Source organism: Homo sapiens, chromosome 16, assembly GCF_000001405.40.
Source record: "Homo sapiens chromosome 16, GRCh38.p14 Primary Assembly".
Taxonomy (NCBI): domain Eukaryota; kingdom Metazoa; phylum Chordata; class Mammalia; order Primates; family Hominidae; genus Homo; species Homo sapiens.
This window is the reverse complement of record NC_000016.10, coordinates 5,635,477-5,652,412: the sequence shown is the minus strand read 5'-3', so window position 1 is coordinate 5,652,412 and position 16,936 is coordinate 5,635,477. Positions and strand designations below refer to the sequence as shown.

At 45.9% G+C, this 16,936-nt stretch overlaps 1 protein-coding gene across 4 annotated transcripts in view, besides 1 other annotated feature; it reads right to left on the bottom strand.

The window, feature by feature from the left end:
* RBFOX1 (RNA binding fox-1 homolog 1) overlaps nucleotides 1-16,936 on the bottom strand; it is a 2,473,620-nt gene that overhangs the window by 2,060,928 nt on the left and 395,756 nt on the right. The gene's annotated exons all lie outside the window — the stretch shown is intronic.
* Nucleotides 9,060-10,259: an enhancer, noted in NCBI's record as "BRD4-independent group 4 enhancer chr16:5692155-5693354 (GRCh37/hg19 assembly coordinates)". NCBI's record gives its function as "activates an origin of replication core promoter dependent on BRD2, P300/CBP, MED14 and CDK7 cofactors, and independent of BRD4, by STARR-seq in HCT116 cells {active_cell/tissue: HCT116}" and the evidence as "EXISTENCE:reporter gene assay evidence [ECO:0000049][PMID:35650434]".

The following is a 16,936-nucleotide window of genomic DNA, read 5'->3' as shown; positions in this document are numbered from 1 at the left end:
AGCCAGTGGTTAAAAGCACAGGCTTTGGGGTCAGACCGATCTGCATTCACTTCCAAGATCTGATTCTCTGGGCATATTAGTTAACCTTAGTGAGCTTCAGCTTTCCCATCTGTAACATGGTTTGATGATAGCAGCTACCCTATAAGGTAGTTTTAAAAAGTAAATAAAATCAAATATATAAAGTGCTAAGTGGTATCTAAAGACTAGTAATCTCTCAGGATATGTTAACTCTGTCAATATCTTCTTCATCATCATCATCATTAAAAGTATAATTTTTTTTAGATGGAGTCTCACTATGTTGTCCAGGCTGGAATGCAGTGGTGTTATCTTGGCTCACTAGAACCTCTTCCTCCAAGGTTCAAGAGATTCCTGTGCCTCAGCCTCCCAAGTAGCTGGGACTATAGGCATGTGTCACCAAGCCCGGCTATTTTTTTCTTTCTTTAGTAGAAATGGGGTTTCTCCATGTTGGCCAGGCTGGTCTTGAACTCCTGACCTCAAGCGATCCTCCTGCCTTGGCCTTCCGAATGCTGGGATTACAGGCATGAGCCACTGTGCCCGGCCTAAAAGCATTATTATTATTAGTTTACTTTGTTACCGATATGCAAATGGATGCTTATGATTGGACAACAATATTGTTCAGAAGAAATTATGTAACCAGAACTCCTCATGCAAATCTAACAGGGAAGTATAAAAAGCAGGCAGGGATGGGTATCCATGCGGAATCAGTTAGACTGAAACGGCTCACTCACAGATGGGCACTGGGAATTCACACAGCTGATGGAGGGTTGGGGAAAGGTGGTGACTGACAAGGTCACACACAGGACAGGACGGGGTGCTCATTTCCCCCGAAAAAATGCTGACTCCTGACAACCCTGGGAGGGTGAAACCTGATCCAGGTCCCAAAGGCAACCTGTGCTTTGGTCCCTCCGTTCTGCAAGGTGGCCTGGGGCAGGATTCTGTGTGTGTCTACCTGGGGTGGCAGCAGAGACACTCGCCTGTGTCCTCCAACCAACATTCTGCAGGTTGCTCCAGGAATGGCTGTGCAAGAAGCTAGGATTCCGGCTGGGCATGGTGGTTCACTCCTGTGATCCCAGCACTCTGGGAGGCCAAGGCAGGTGGGTCACGTGAGGCCAGGAGTTCCAGACCAGCCTGGTCAACATAGTGAAACCCTGTCTCTACTAAAAAGACAAAAATTAGCTGGGTATGGTGGCAGGTGCCTGTAATTCCAGCTACTCAGGAGGCTGAAGCAGGAGAATCGCTTGAACCCAGGAGGCAGAGGTTGCAGTGACCTGAGATCACGCCACTGCACTCCAGCCTGGGTGACAGAGTGAGACCCTGTCTCAAAAAAAAAAAAAAAAAAAAAAAAAAAAAAGAAGGAGGTAGTGTTCTCCCAGAGGAAGGGAAGAGAAAGGGAGAGGGAGAAGGGACAGCAAGGAAGGACAGGGGAGGAAAGAAAAGAGAGAAATGAGGCAGAGGGAAAGAAGGAGTGAAAAGTGATCAAGGAGAGAGTGAGGAGACAGGAAGGTGTTCCCTGTGTCTCATTCACTGGCTTCGTTCCTGTCTTCATGACCCGTCGCCTGCTGCCCCGTCCTCCATAAGGACAAAGACTGTGTCCGTCTGTTAACAAGACCCAAACTGAGCATTCAATAAATGTGGGAGAAGACAGGGAGAAGGAGGGAGAGAGGCAAGGGAAGACAGAGAGAGACAGAGAGAGGAAGGTAGGCTCCTGGTAACCCCTGTTAAATGAAGAGAAAAGCTGCCATTCCCTCCCCTCTGGTGTTTATCTAAGCAGCTGGCAGAACTAAGGCAGTTTTGCTTAAAAATCATTTCCCAGGGGATTAGCATCCCCTTTCACACTTAAAAGCCTTCCCCAAAGCCAAAGAATGAATTGATTTTCCTATAACTAATCACACTCCCGTTTAATAGCAGGAAGCCACTGCTTTATTTTCCATTTCTGTCTCTAAAAATGCAGACTGGGCATCCAGGTTGCCTCTCCCGCACCACTTGCAGGATGCCAGGATGATGGAGGAGGCCCTCGACGGGGCTCCCTCCCTCCCTCCACACCACCACCACCACCACCACCACCGCCGTGGCTGCCTCTGAAGAGGACGAGGAGTGTGGCTGAGAGCCCAGAAAGGGGCACTTCACATCTCCCGAGGCCATCAGAGTCAGCCTCTCTGGCCCAAGCAGCTGCCTCTGTTTGCTCAGGTAAGATTGAGAGCCTCGTCTTACGACTATTTCACCAGGAGTTGGGGGTGGGGGCTGGAGGCTGTTGAGTCCCTGTCGAAACCACAGAGGTTATTGAGAGGAAAGCTCATCCATGAAGACCCCAACGTGCCTTCAAAACTTGTGTTTGCTTAAGCAGCCCAGACGGCCAATGCTTCATGTAGAGAGCAATGTGGTGTTTGCAAAACATCGACTCTGCCTCTTCCTGTGGGCCGACCTCCCCGCGTGTTCCACCGGGAGGCGATTCTTGCGAACTCGAGTGCTACCTCCTCTGATGAAGTGCTTCACATCCCTCTATAATCTGCACAGTGTGAAGGACTAACAAGCTCAGCTCAAGGGCAATCCACCAGCCTGAAAACACCTGGATCAAATCCACCCCATGTACATGTTGTCAACACAAGCAGTTGTTGAGTGAAAACAGCGAGTTGTACATGATGGCCTTCAATTTGTGTTTGTTGAAAAGAGAAATGTAAATTCATGCAGTACTTTGTGCGTGGATATTGCTAATTGTAAAGTACCAAAAAACAGACAAAGAAGATAAAAATAAATTCATGACAGAGGCTGCATCTCTCAGGGAAGAAAGGGAAATGAGAGAGGGAGACGATGGGATGAGCTTAGCTATGATTTCTGTTTTTAGTTTTATTAAAAATATTAGGAGAGACCAATAACAACTGCCAATGTGGGGTGGTAGAAACACATTTTAAAAATATTATTTCTGACCCGGCATGGTGGCTCATGCCTGTAATCCCAGCACTTTGGGAGACCGAGGCAGGTGGATCACCTGAGGTCAGGAGTTCAAGACCAACCTGGCCAACATGGCGAAACCCCGTCTGTACTAAAAATATAAAAATTAGCCAGGCATAGTGGCGCATGCCTGTAGTTCCCAGCTACTTGGGAGGGTGAGACAAGAGAATCGCTTGAACCCAGGAGGCGGAGGTTGCAGTGAGCCAAAATTGTGCACTCCAACCTGGGTGACAGAGAAAGACTCCATCTCAAAACACAAAGTACATATATACATATGTACATATATATGTGTATATATATGTATATGTATGTATATATGTGTGTATATATATATAATCGCTTTTATGTATCTTTAAACATCTGATATATATTTTTTTTTGATACAGAGTCTCATTCTGTCTCTCAGGCTGGAGTGCAGTGGCACAATCTCTACTTACTGCAACCTCCACCTCCTAGGTTCAAGTGATTCTCAAGCTTCAGCCTCCCAAGTAGCTGGGACTACAGGTGAGAACCATCACACCCGGCTAATTTTTGTATTTTTAGTAGACATGGGGTTTCACCATGTTGGCCAGCCTGGACTCAAACTCCTGACCTCAAGTGATCCGCCTGCTTTGGCCTCCCGAAGTGCTGGGATTACAGGCATGAGCCAGTGTGCCTGGCCTAAAATGTGATTTTTAAAATATGCAAATAAAAAGAGGAGGTAGACACAAGGAAAACTAACTCCATATCCTCAATAACTTCCAGTCCTGCCCACGTCTAAATGCATTTTTTTCTTTTCTCCTTCTAGATCAGAGTTTCTCAGCGTCAACTCTTGACGTGTTGGGTAAGATCATTCTTGGTGGTGGGAGATGTCCTGTGCATCATAGGGCACAGAGCAGCATCCCTGGTCTCCGCCCACTAGATGCCAGTACCACCTCCCCGCAAGTTGTACTAAGCAAAATGTCACTGGACATTGCCAAATTCCCCTAGGGAACATCACCCTTGGTTGAAAAGCCCTGGTCTAGATGAAACCTATGTCAGCCCAGTGTCCCCTCTTCTGGCAGAGTGCACCACACCTGCGCAGTCCTTCAGCACCTTCTGATCACACTCGCATGCATTCTCTTACTCTGGTTTTTTAGTTGCACTACCTAAGAAAGTGAGGTTGTGACACCCATTGCCCAGATGTGAAAACTGAGGCTCCGAGAACTTGAGAACCTCTGACACAGCAGGTTTTCCCTGAATTCTCCTCCTGCATATCGTATGTATTGTCGTGGTTAGTGTTATTCATCAAAAGCCTACAAGGTGGCCAGGTGCAGTGGCTCATGCCTGTGATCCCAGCACTCTGGGAGGTAGAGGCAGGCTGATCACTTGAAGTAAGGAGTTTGAGAACAGCCTGGCCAATACAGTGAAACCCTGTCTCTACCAAAAATACAAAAATTAATCAGGGACAGTGCTGCATGCCTATACTCCAAGCTACTCAGGAGGCTGAGGCAGGAGAATATCTTGAACCCAGGAGGTGGATGTTGCAGTGAGCTGAGATCATGCCACTGCACTTCAGGCTGAGTGACAGAATGAAACTCCATCTCAAAAAACAAAAACAAAAACAAAAACAAAACAGCCTACAAGGTGCCAATCTTCCTGTGTTGGGAAGCAGAGATTTTTAAAATAAAGCACACACAGAATCTGTTCCGGGAAACTTGTACCAAGCCTGGCAGCTGATTAGGGGAAGAATGCAGCCTTGAACCTGGCGTTGCAGGTTCTTATTGTTAAGCTACGGATTAGTTCTTCTTACCCTAATAATCAGAGAAGGTACTGACTTACTGAGGTCTACTCTTTTCTTGTTCTTTTTCTCCTTTCCCACACTGGAGAAATGGGGAAAGGGAAAGGAGAAGAGGTGGGGTTTCCACGGGACAGAGACTAACATTTGCTCAGTGCCTACTGTGTGCCCTGAGCTTCAGATAACTTGCCTCGACTGACTTCACAATAACCCCGTGAAGTGGACAGCAGTGTTTACATGTTGCCAAAAACATGAAACATGAAACCAAAGGATCCTATTTCACAGTGGCAATAAATTGCAGGCACATTTAAGAAGAAAAGGGACCTAATTTTTCTAAAATACAATTTCCTCTGAGGCAGTAGAATGTCCACCATTAAGCAGATGTAGAACTAAATCCCAGCTGTGCCCCTTCCAAGCTCCATGGCCCTGGGTGAATGACCTCACCTCCTGTTGCCTCACTGTTTTGCTTCATAAACCTGGGGTTCATATTCAGTGAAACGGTGCACATGCCACCCACATATCACTGGTCCACCTTGAGGCAGGATTTTGTCCACTGATGCATTAAAACACACACACACATTCTGAGTCCACAGGCATTTAACAATCAAGTGTTTCTTAGAAGGAAAGAACAGGGTCCTATAGTGTATTTCACACAGGAATGGCATCTGCATCCTTCCCTAGAAGCCTCCATCGCAGCCGCCGGCTGCGCTCCCCTTTCTCGGTATTTCCCTCCCACCATCAAGAGGGTCTTCCTGGCTGGGCGTGGTGGCTCACGCCTGTAATATCAGCAGTTTGGGAGGCTGAGGCAGGCAGATCATGAGGTCAAGAGATTGAGACCATCCTGGCTAACACAGTGAAACCCTGTCTCTACTAAAAATATAAAAATTAGCCAAGCGTGGTGATGGGCGCCTGTAGTCCCAGCTACTTGGGAGGCTAAGGCAGGAGAATGGTGTGAACCTGGAAGACAGAGGTTGCAGTGAGCAGAGATCACGCCAAAGCACTCCAGCCTGGGTGACAAAGCGAGACTCCATCTCAAAAAAATAAAAAATAAGAGGGTCTTCCCTTACCTGCCCAGACCCCTGCCATGCCCTCCCTGACACATGCTGCACACTGCGACCCTCTGACATAGCAGGTGTCTCCTCTGCATTCTCCTCCTGCACATCCTACATACACAATGCACACTATTGTCACAGTCAGTATTTTTCACTGATAGCCCACAAGATGACAAGCACTGTGCTGGGAACCAGAGGTTGTGCACAGTGGCTCATGGCTCTAATCCCAGCACTTTAGGAGGCCGAGGTAGGAGGACTGCTTTAGTCAAGGAGGTTGAGATCAGCCTGAGCAACATAGTGAGACCCTATCTCCACAACACAGTGGTTGACACCTATAATCCCAGCACTTTGGGAGGCCGAGGAAGGCGGATCACAAGGTCAAGAGATTGAGACCATCCTGGCTAACACGGTGAAACCCTGTCTCCACTAAAAATACAAAAAAAAAAAAAAAATAGCACGTGCCTGTAATCCCAGCGACTTGGGAGGCTGAGGCAGCAGAATAGTGTAAACCCGGGAGGCAGAGTTTGCAGTGAGCCAAGATTGTGCCACCGTACTCCAACCTGGGCAACACAGCGAGACTCCGTCTCAAAAATAGAAAAAAAAAATTAAAAAAAAAACAGAGGACAAACAAATTAGCCAGGTGCGGTAGTACTTGCCTATAGTCCTACTCACTCAGGAGCCTGGGGCAGGAAAATCACTTGAGCCCAGGAGTTTGAGGCTGCAGTGAGCTATGATGCACGCCATTGCATTCCAGCATAACAACATAGCAAGACCCTTTGTCTATGAAATTTTTTTAAAAAAATTAGCCAGATGTGGTGGCACATGCCTGTAGTTCTAGCTACTCAAGAAGCTGAGGCAGAAGGATTGCTTAAGGCCAGGAGATTGAGGCTACAGTCAGCTCTGATTGCACCGCTGCACTCCAGTCTGGGTGCCAGACCAAGATCCTGTCTGTGAACAAAAAATACGTATGTAAATACATAATAAAGCACACACAGAATCTTTCCCAAGGAAATTCACAATCAAGGAACAGGTCAATGTATATATGAGACTCTTTTTAATTGAAGCAAAATTCATATAACAATTTACATAAATAGAAAATTAAGCACTTTAAAGTGAACCATTCAGTATATTCATAAGCATTTAGTATATTCATAGCTGTGTGCAAACATCACATCCAATTCCCAAACATTATCACTCTTAAAAGAAACCTCATCCCAGCTCTCCTAAACCTCTCGGTCCCTGGCAACCTCAAATCTACATTGTGTGTATATACCTATTCTAGATGCTTCATATAAATGGAATCATACAATATGTGGCCTTTTGTGTGCAGCTTCTTTCACTCAGCATGTTTTTTTTTTTGTTTTTGTTTCTGTTTTTGTTTTTTTGAGATGGAACTTCATTTTTGCTGCCCAGGCTGGAGTGCAATGTCACGATCTTGGCTCACTGCAACCTCTGCTTCCTAGGTTCAAGTGATTCTCCTGCCTCAGCCTCTCAAGTACCTGGGATTACGGGCATGCATCACCACACTCAACATTTTTATTTTTTTTTTTTTTGTATTTTTAGTAGAGACAGGGTTTCACCATGTTGCTCAGGCTGGTCTCAAATGCCTGACTTCAAGTGATCCACTCGCCTCAGCCTCCCAAAGTGCTGGGATTACACCATCCCCAGCCTTCATCATGTTTTCCAGGTTCATCCATGCCATGGCATGTGCGAGCGTTTCATTCTTCTCAGGTATATACCCCAAATAATTAAAAACAGGTATTCAGACAAAAACTCGCACATGAACGTTCATGGCGGCATTATTCACAATTGGCAAAAAGTACAAATAACCCAAATGTCCATCAGCTGATAAACGGATACACAAAACATGGTATATTCATACAACGGAGTATTATTCAGCCATACCTGGGCTTTTTGTGGACATGATCTCAGTTCATAATCAGAATAAGATTGCAGAATGCACAGTATTTTTATCCCCCACAATTTGTGGAGGAAAAAATTGTGAATCAGCAACATTGCCAACCTTGTGTCTCCCAGCCTGACACGCTTCAAAATCAGAGACACGGCTGAGTTCCTGCAATGTATCTCAGACTAACTCCTCATGTCAGAGGGAGCCACATGGGTGGTTCTGGACTTTAAGGTGGAACTTTACCTCCATGGTGTACAGTCCAACTTCAACCCATCTGGAGCCCAAGCGCCTTTAACACAGACTTAGAGAATTCTCCTTCCCTCTACCATGGGCATTTCCTTTGCACAATGGCCAAAATCACTCATCCACATTCAGGGTGCTGTTACTATGCCCTTATCAAGGATCTCTGGCACCATTCAAGTCCCTAATTCATTTTACTACACATAAATTGCATTGTCCTTCATATACAGCCTTAACCTATTTAATTAGAGCCCCAATTTACTTTTTTTAAAGGAAAAAAACACACACACTTTAACTCTACAAGGGGCTAAAATTATACCTTATGGAAAGACGCGATTATTTCCTGACCATGAACTTCTGCTTTTATGAATTGCTAATTTGGTTAATGGGCTCATTCTGCTCTGAAATTTGCATCATGAAAATTACTAGCTTCGAAGAGTCCTCTGTGTACGACGCAGTCTGCACGTTTTGTTGTAAAGGTCACATTTGACATCGTAAAACAGCGGGCCCTTTTGAAAAGGTACAAATGTAAGAAATTAAATAGGCCCATTTGGTATAATGTCATTGTTACAGAGGGAAAGAAAAGATTTTTAAGTTAATTTTTATTCATACTGTTTATGCGTGTGCAGGGTGAGCTCCATCCCACGTGAATGTGCCTGGCACATTATTGGCTTAGCTTGTGATTAGGGGACAGTAGTGGATGGAAAGTTTCTTCCACAAGAATCAGTAAAATGGTGACTCTCAAATCAGTAAAAGAATCAATAAATAAAATAAAGGGCACGATCCTGTGCATCTAAGTAGATCCAGGCTCTGGGGAAAGCTGAAGTTCCTACATCAAATCATAATTTAAATGCTGCAGGAAGACTCTGTACCTAAAAATACCTTGCTATGACTCTGCGGTTCTGACAATAAAAAATCATGAAGCATTCACCACCCTAATCAATGTGGGGTACACATCTGGATTTTCCTAGGCTGGGTGTGTGAAGTCAGATGCTCAGAATCTCCATACCTCTCAGCAGAGAAGCTCTACTTTATGTATCAGGAAACCTTGTCTTCCTTGGAGAACATGGGGCCAAGTCCACCCACAATGAAGCATCAAGAAGGAAATGATAATGCCTAAGGTTTAGCCACCTTCCTGGGTGCCCAGAGGGAGTGAGCAGGGGGCAGCCACACCCTAAAAAAACGATAATCAAGGACAGCCAAGAAGCCACATCATTTTTACAAAGAGGCAGTCTAAGGTCAAAAGCGGGGCTCACCTGCCCATGTGCCATGTAACTTTAGGCAAGTTCCTCACCCTCCTGCTTCTGATGTCATTTTTTTTCATGCCTACCGTGGCAACCATAATGCTAGCATCTGCCTAGAGGCTGGCTGCTGAGGCTTTTAGAGGTTAACACGGAGCCTCTGCCCATATCCCACAATCTGGAGGAGCAAGAATATATCATAAGGTGAGGACATAAACTTCTGACCTGCTGCAAGGGCTCCAGGAAGTCGTGCTCAGGAGAGGCGGTGGATTAGGCCAGCCCTGGAGGAACTCAAAAGGAATACCAGGTGGGTGAGCGGGCATTGACAGGTGAGAAAGGCAAGGAGCCTAGCTTTTGAATACAGACCCCCTCACTCTAGGGGCCACAGAGTCATCAGGCAGCACCTTGCCTCTAGTATTATGTCTGTAACCAAGTCCTGGGTAAGACACACATCAGGGGAGAACACCATCAGAGGAAACCAGTCCTTTGTGGCAAGGAAGAGAGGCCCCTCCCGGGAGCACATGAGTCCTCCCCCTCCCTCCTTCTGTAATTACCTCTAGTAAATTCCCCATTCATCGGCTAGCCAGCTTCTATTCAGTGAGGACATGAGGCTGGGTGGCTGGGGAAGGGGGGGCGGCTAGGCACATTCAAGTTTGCACAATCTCCAATCACCGCACCTGATGGGAATAAGCACTTGCTTATGTGAAATTTTCATTTCAATCCCAGCCTCAGATTGCAGCATTTAAGAGCGACGTTCCCAAACACTTGAACACAGAAGGCTTTTCATCCTCAGAGTCCAGCACAAGTGTTACCTAATTAATGTTCAACAATGTTACCAAGCCTCCCTCTTTTAAGACGTATCAACCTGGAAAGGTCTGGAATTAAGGATTTTGATCTCGCATGGATTGCTTTCATGTATTTCGGGTAATTCGCACAGCTGCTTAAAGAAAGATATTCATCGACTATAAACAGCCCCAAGTTTGAGCAGCTACACAAATAAACCTTCTCTTATCTCTCCTGGCAGCTTTCCTTTGCCTGCTTGGGCAGTGAAGGGATCAAAACTGCTCCCCGACAGACTGATTCAATGAGCACATGGCCTCTAAAGTGAATCACTCTTCAGCCAGGCAGAATAAACTCCCAGCTTGAGATCCTCAGTGACTTTCCCTAAGTCCAGACCATGGCCTCCTCCCAGTCTTGCTCCTCAAAGTGTGGTCCAGATACCAGCAGCCTTGGTATCCCCTGAGAACTCACTCGAGATCCAGAATCACGAGTCCCACCTCAGACCTGTAGAAACTGAATCTGCATTTTAGTGAAATCCCCAAGTGACATATGCATCATAGCCTTCTCCTGAGCAAACTCCTATGCATCCTAGGAAACCCCACTCAAATGGCCCCTGCTCTGTGATGTGCTCCTTGATTCCTACAGAAAATGCCATAGGAAGAGCATACAGTTTGAGATGCACTGGTCTTCATGGCTCTCCAAGAACTGACCCCCTGCCTTTATTCCGCTGAGCTCCTTGCTATTCCTAAGACAAAGTCAACATGCCCCCGCCTCCAGGCCTTTGCCCTGCTGAGCTCACTGCCCAAGCATACTTCCCCAGGCCACTGCAGTGCCAGGTCTGCTGCATGGCACACCCAAAAGGGGTGCCATTCATATCACACTTGCAATAAATGGTATATCCTGCAGCCTCACTCAGGAGCTAGGTGGCACAGTGACCCTGTGCCAGGACCTGAGTAACAGCTATCTCTTGGAAGAGGCCTTTCTACTTACCCTTATCCTAAGCAGCTTCCCATCACTCTTTCTCCCCTCAGCCTGCTTTGCAGTTGTTTGTAGCACTTACTACTACTGGACACTGCAGCAGGTATCTACTTGTGTATGTAGTTTATTGCATAATTTTCCTTGCTAGAATATATTGCCCATGAGATCAGAGACTTTGTCTTTTCCCTTCCACTGTATTCTCAGCACCTAGAACACAGCCTATTTAATAACTGGTACTCAGTTGGTACATGTGTGTATGTGCATGCATGTATGTATGCATGGTGTGCATGTGTGTGCCTGTGTGTATCCATGGTGTGCATGTGTGTACATGCATGTGTGTGTATTCATGGTGTGCATGTGTGTATGCATGTGTGTGTATGCATGTGTATGCATGGTGTGCATGTGTGTGTGTGTATGGTGTGCATGGGTGTATGTGCATATGTGTGTGCATGGGTGTTTATGCATGGTGTGCATGTATGTGTGTGCATATGTATGCATGATATGCATGTATGTGTGTGCATGTGTGTATGCATGTGTGTATGCATGGTGTGCATGAGTGTATGTGCACGTGTGTCCATGTGTGTATGTGCATAGGTTTGCATGCATGGTGTGTGTGTGTGTGTATCCATGGTGTGTGTGTGTGTGTGTGTGTGCATGTATGTGTATCCATGGTGTGCATGTGTATATGTGTGTGTATGCATGGTGTGTGTATGTGCCTGTGTGTATCCATGGTGTACATGTGTGTATGTGCATGGGTTTCTATGCATAGTGTACGTGTGTGCATAGGTGTGTATCCATGGTGTGCTTGTGTGTATGCATGTATGTGTATGCATGCTGTGCATGTGTTTGTGTGTATGCATGGTGTGCATATGTATGCGCATGTGTGTATCCATGGTGTGCATCTGTGTATGTGTGTGCATATGTATGCATGGCATGCATGTATGTGCATGTGTGTATGTGCATGTGTGTATGTGCATGTATATGCATGGTGTGCATATATGTGTGTGCATGGTGTACATGTGTGTGTGCCTGTGTATGCATGGTGTTCATGTGCATGTGTATGTGTGCATGGTGTGCATGTGTATATGTGCATGCATGCATGCATGCATGATGTACATGTGCATACATGCTTGTGCCAATGTGCAGGTGCATGTGTCTCTGTGTGCATGTGCAAAATTAAATACTCTCTCCCATTCACAGTACTTTCAGACCGATGGCTAAAGTGAACGCTCCTGCAAAATGTCCCTTCATTAATATAGATTCTTGGGTGCTTTGGAAATGAGCAGTCCTCCAGAGAGCAATGCTGTCCTGCTCAATGCTGAGGAAGGGGCCCCAGTCACACGCCTGGGTAAGCGGCCACTTCTACCCCTCAGCTGCTACAGAAGGTTCTTTTACCTTTTTCTTATTTCCCTGACCTGCATGTGCCTCAAAGGTGAGCCACAAGATCCTTATCACATGCAGCACCCAGCACCACGGGGAAAATCAGTCCAGTGCCAGTGAACACTCCTGATCAGAAAACAAGGCTCTGGGCAGAGAAAAGTAAAAGAGATGCTCAGCTTGCCTGGTTAGCACAATGTTTCATGCTTTAGCAGAAAATAGCTCATAACTAATCAAATGCTGTGGGGCTTCAAAGGCACAAGATGAAGAAACTCACAATCATAACAAAGAGAACAGAGCGACACCAGCCCAGGGGACTGGAAACCACACCCACTCTTTGCCAGACACTCCAGTAAATTCAGTCATCTTGTTCCGCCCAAATGCCGAGCAGCCTCCCACCTCAGCCACCTACAGCCTGGTAGGCATGTGCATGGGTGAGGCAAGGCTGAAAGAGAGAGACAGCAGCACTACAGTGATGATGAATGCATGCTGACCCTGCCACTTGATGTTCAGGAGATGATAGAGAGTGATGGAGAGTGTGGCAAACACACTTCTTGCTCCCTCTAAAAGGGAAGCCACTACTCAGTCCCATTTGACTAGTGTTATGTAGGAACATGGACCCAGTGTTCCGAGGCCTTCTCACTTTCCAAAAGAAGTCTTGATTCATATCAAGACTTCTGTTGAACCTCCCAGCTTTGAAACATTGACAAGTAATCCAAAATTTTAACAACTCTGCAGGCAAAATAAAATACAACTGTGGATGAGATGTTGCCAAGGGCCATGCTTCTGAGACAACAGCAGAGACATTTGAAATTCAGGCCTTTATGTGGTTTTTTAATCAGCACAATTGTGCAATTAGTGGGGGCATTCCCTTACGTACATAGATGAAATGTGTGCACACAATTCTAGAACGTATCACGCAAGAGGAAGCCAAAAGCAAGTTCAAGTGACTAATAAAACTGTATTGTACCGCAGGATCAGAGCAAAAGAACCTAGTCTCTAGAGTAGAGGTATCTAGGAAATCTCACAGATTAAGAAAATGAGAAGGTGGGGTTAGTGAAGAGGACAAGAGTAAAGCTCAGCATTCTTAGGAGGTCCACTTCTTCTGAGAAAGTATCTTCCTCCTGTGACAACCTGCAGGAGGAGAGAATGGCATTTCTGTAGGAATCACAGAGCAGGGGACATTTGAGTTGGGTTTCACAGGATACACAGGAGTTTGCTCAGAAGAAGGCTATCACACAGAGGAACCACAAGTGCCAAAACACATTCCCTCATGGCTTTCTCTGAGCCCATTCAGCCCAGAACTTAAGGCTGCTCTTTTCCCTTCCTCAGATGTCTCTGAACCAGTACAGGATCCTACTCAAGCTCTATGATGTAGAGAGCCAGTGTCTGTGGGGACAGACAGGGAATGGAAATTCTATTCCCTTCCTTAACCCATTCCAATCCTCCCCATCTAGAATCTACAGTGAATAAAAACTTATGAATACAAGATGTAAATAAAGAAGGTAGAGGCACAATCCCATTCCTATAACCCCACTTTTCCACCCTTCCTTTAGGCCCCAAAGATGCCACTGTGTTTGTTGGGGACTGGGGGTGGCAGGTGAGTATCCCTAGCAGCTGCAGGCAGAGGGAAAAGTAAGAGGCAATGGAGGCCCCTAGAAACACCAGCTTATTCAATCATCATGGTTACTCCCCAGAAGCCCTCCCCCTGCTAGGGCTGTGTGTCCTGGAACCATCTTGTCAAGTACCAAACAACGTTTAGCATCTTTAATCACCTCTGTGTCATAAGGCAAGATAGAAAAGTGGTGGTACAACCAGAATGTGTGGGTTGGACCCCAGGCTCTTCCACCTGTCTGGGTGGCTGATAGCAAGTTATGCTACCTTTCCAAACCTCACTCTTCTTAGCTACAAAATGACAGTAACAATTGCCACTGCACCCCCTCCACAGGGCTAGTCAATAATCACATATGTAAAATGCTCAGCACTGTATCTATGAATGGGAACTTCTCTGTAATATTTTCTAAGATTAATCTCTTGTTGCCTTCAGTCATTTAGAAAAGGAACTCCCGTATGAGATGGGGGATTGCCCATTTTATCCAAAGGAAAGAATAGTCAGGGGACTTCCGACATCATCAGAGTAGAAATACTTGAGAACACTGGACCTCTAGGCATTTTTCAAAAGAAGGCTTGGTGCTTGGCCAAGGAAACAGGGTCATTTCCTCCAGGGAGTAGCAGATTTCACCTAAGGCGGTAGGAGAGGCCCCTGGAATCCAGAGTGGGGCTAAGCCCTGTGGCCCTCCCTCCTCACCACACTACCAGGGAGGGTGGTCTTCAGCATGGGAATGTGAGCTCTCTCTTCCTGTTGCCTGGATATACACATCTCCTGTTCCACCCTTAGGGATCCTTCCCCATCTGCCTCCCTGGGGAACTACTGGATTCATCAGAAGTAGAGACTGCCCAAATGGTGTCAGGGCCTTGAAAAACCCAAGGCACAAAAGGGTAACTTGTTATTTAATTCATAAACATATGAACAGCAATTAAAACTAGATTTATTGAGGATACACTAGGTGTTCAATAGTCTAGGTGCATCACACTAAGCACATTATAGACATTAGCTTGCTAAGCCCACAACAACCCTATGAGGAGGTTTTATTCCTTTACTGTCTGAAGTTCAGAGACATCAATTCACTCGCTATGGGTCACCTGTGGGAAGGAGCTGAGCAGAAATGAGCCCCCTGGAAACCTAGCTCTGGAGACCACTTACCTATCTACTAAGACATGACTTATTTAAACTGGGGTAGGGGGCAGGGTTTGCTCTAGACACTTGCCCCATTTTCCCACCTTGTACGATGGCCCAAAGCCTAATTGTTGGAGGCTGCTTGAAAGCCTACTTTAGGCTGATTTGCTTCTTTCTCAGCGGCATGTCAGCTGCTGCCCTGCGTGACAGCTTATTTAAAATATCAGGTAGAAATAAGATTCACTGTGAAATTAGTTGTAGACAAGCTCAGAAACTGCTAATGATGCAGAGATAATAAGGGGATTTGCAGAAAACACTGATATTGCATTATGATTAGTGAGCAGAGCTTCACCCCTTGAAGCCTGAGGGGCCCGAACTCCCACAAGAAGAACAAATGCATATGGATTAGCAGCGCACGCTGGCAAATCCTGGCTCCCAAGGCCAGCAGGCTCAGGCCTCCTGGTCAGAGGCTCAGAGCTCAGCTCTGATTTGCAAAAATGATTAATTTGTGGGTTTTGAGAATGAGAAATGTTTACTTCCCAGGTCTGGGGAAAACCAAAGGCCGGTCCTAAATCAAATTCCCATTTGAAAATAAAAACAAGCAAGAATAGCTCTGGAAGGCAACCCTGCGGTCTCACCTGGTCCACTGCCCGGAGTTCCCTAGATGGCCCTTCCAAGGGTATGATCTCAGGTCTACCAAGAATTTTGCTAGATTCATATTCCTACGAGTACGAAAGTTGGCTGTCAAGCTGCTATGTGCCACAGTAGCTGCCCAGTTCATGAGCCAATAAAATCTTGATATCCCAGTCAGAAAAACATGACAACCCTGACCTTGCCACTGGCCATCTCCATGACCCAGCCAATAAAACGTTAATGCCTGGCCCCATGAGCGGGAGGAGTCCTTCAGATTCTCATCCAGTGCTTTGGCCAGCATTATTTCTGATACACTGCAATAACCAGTAAAGTGTCCACAACTTACTGGTTATTAAATAGGTTTTTTAATTTTTATTTATTTAATTTTTTTGAGACAGAGTTTCACTCTTGTCGCCCAGGCTAGGGTGAAATGGCGCAATCTTGGCTCACTGCAACTTCCACCTCCCGGGTTTAAATGATTCTCCTGCATCGGCCTCCAGAGTAGCTGGGACTACAGGCATCTGCTACCATACCCAGCTAATTTTTGTATTTTTAGTAGAGATGGGGTTTCACCATGTTGGTCAGGCTGGTCTCGAACTCCTGACCTCAGGTGATCCACCCGCCTTTGCCTCCCAAAGTGCTGGGGTTACAGGCATGAGCCACCATGCCAGCCTTTTTTTTTTCTCTTTTTTAAATGGAGAAAGGGTCCCACTATGTTGCCCAGACTAGTCTAAAACTGCTGGCCTCAGGAAATCCTCCCACCTTGGACTCCAAAATTGCTGGGATTACAGGCATGGGCCACTGCACCTGGAATGTTAAATAGTTTTGATATCACCCCTTCATCCTAGACCTGTCTAGCTGGTGTATCTATAACACGAAAAATGAATGGAATGCATGATAGAAATCAAATAGGATAAAAATCCTCCAAAAAAAACCCAGTGCTACAAATCAACAGGATCTGAGTCCTGCTCTGGCTTGATCTATCCCTCAGTATTTACAAATGCACCCAAGATGGCAGTCTACTGGTGCACCCAGGATATGTAATTTAGCCAAGTTACAGTCTCTCAACTTTTGGCATAGAGAGGGGGAAATGCAAATTGCATGCATGTCAATGACTAAGCCACCTGCATAATGAGATGCCAGAAAGTTTGAGGCTAAAACGCTTATTTACATGAAAAGCAAATCTGTATGGGATACATATTTCTCTCCTTCACATCTCAACACATTTGTCACTCAAAGCCAGAAGGCTCTAATCAATGAAGC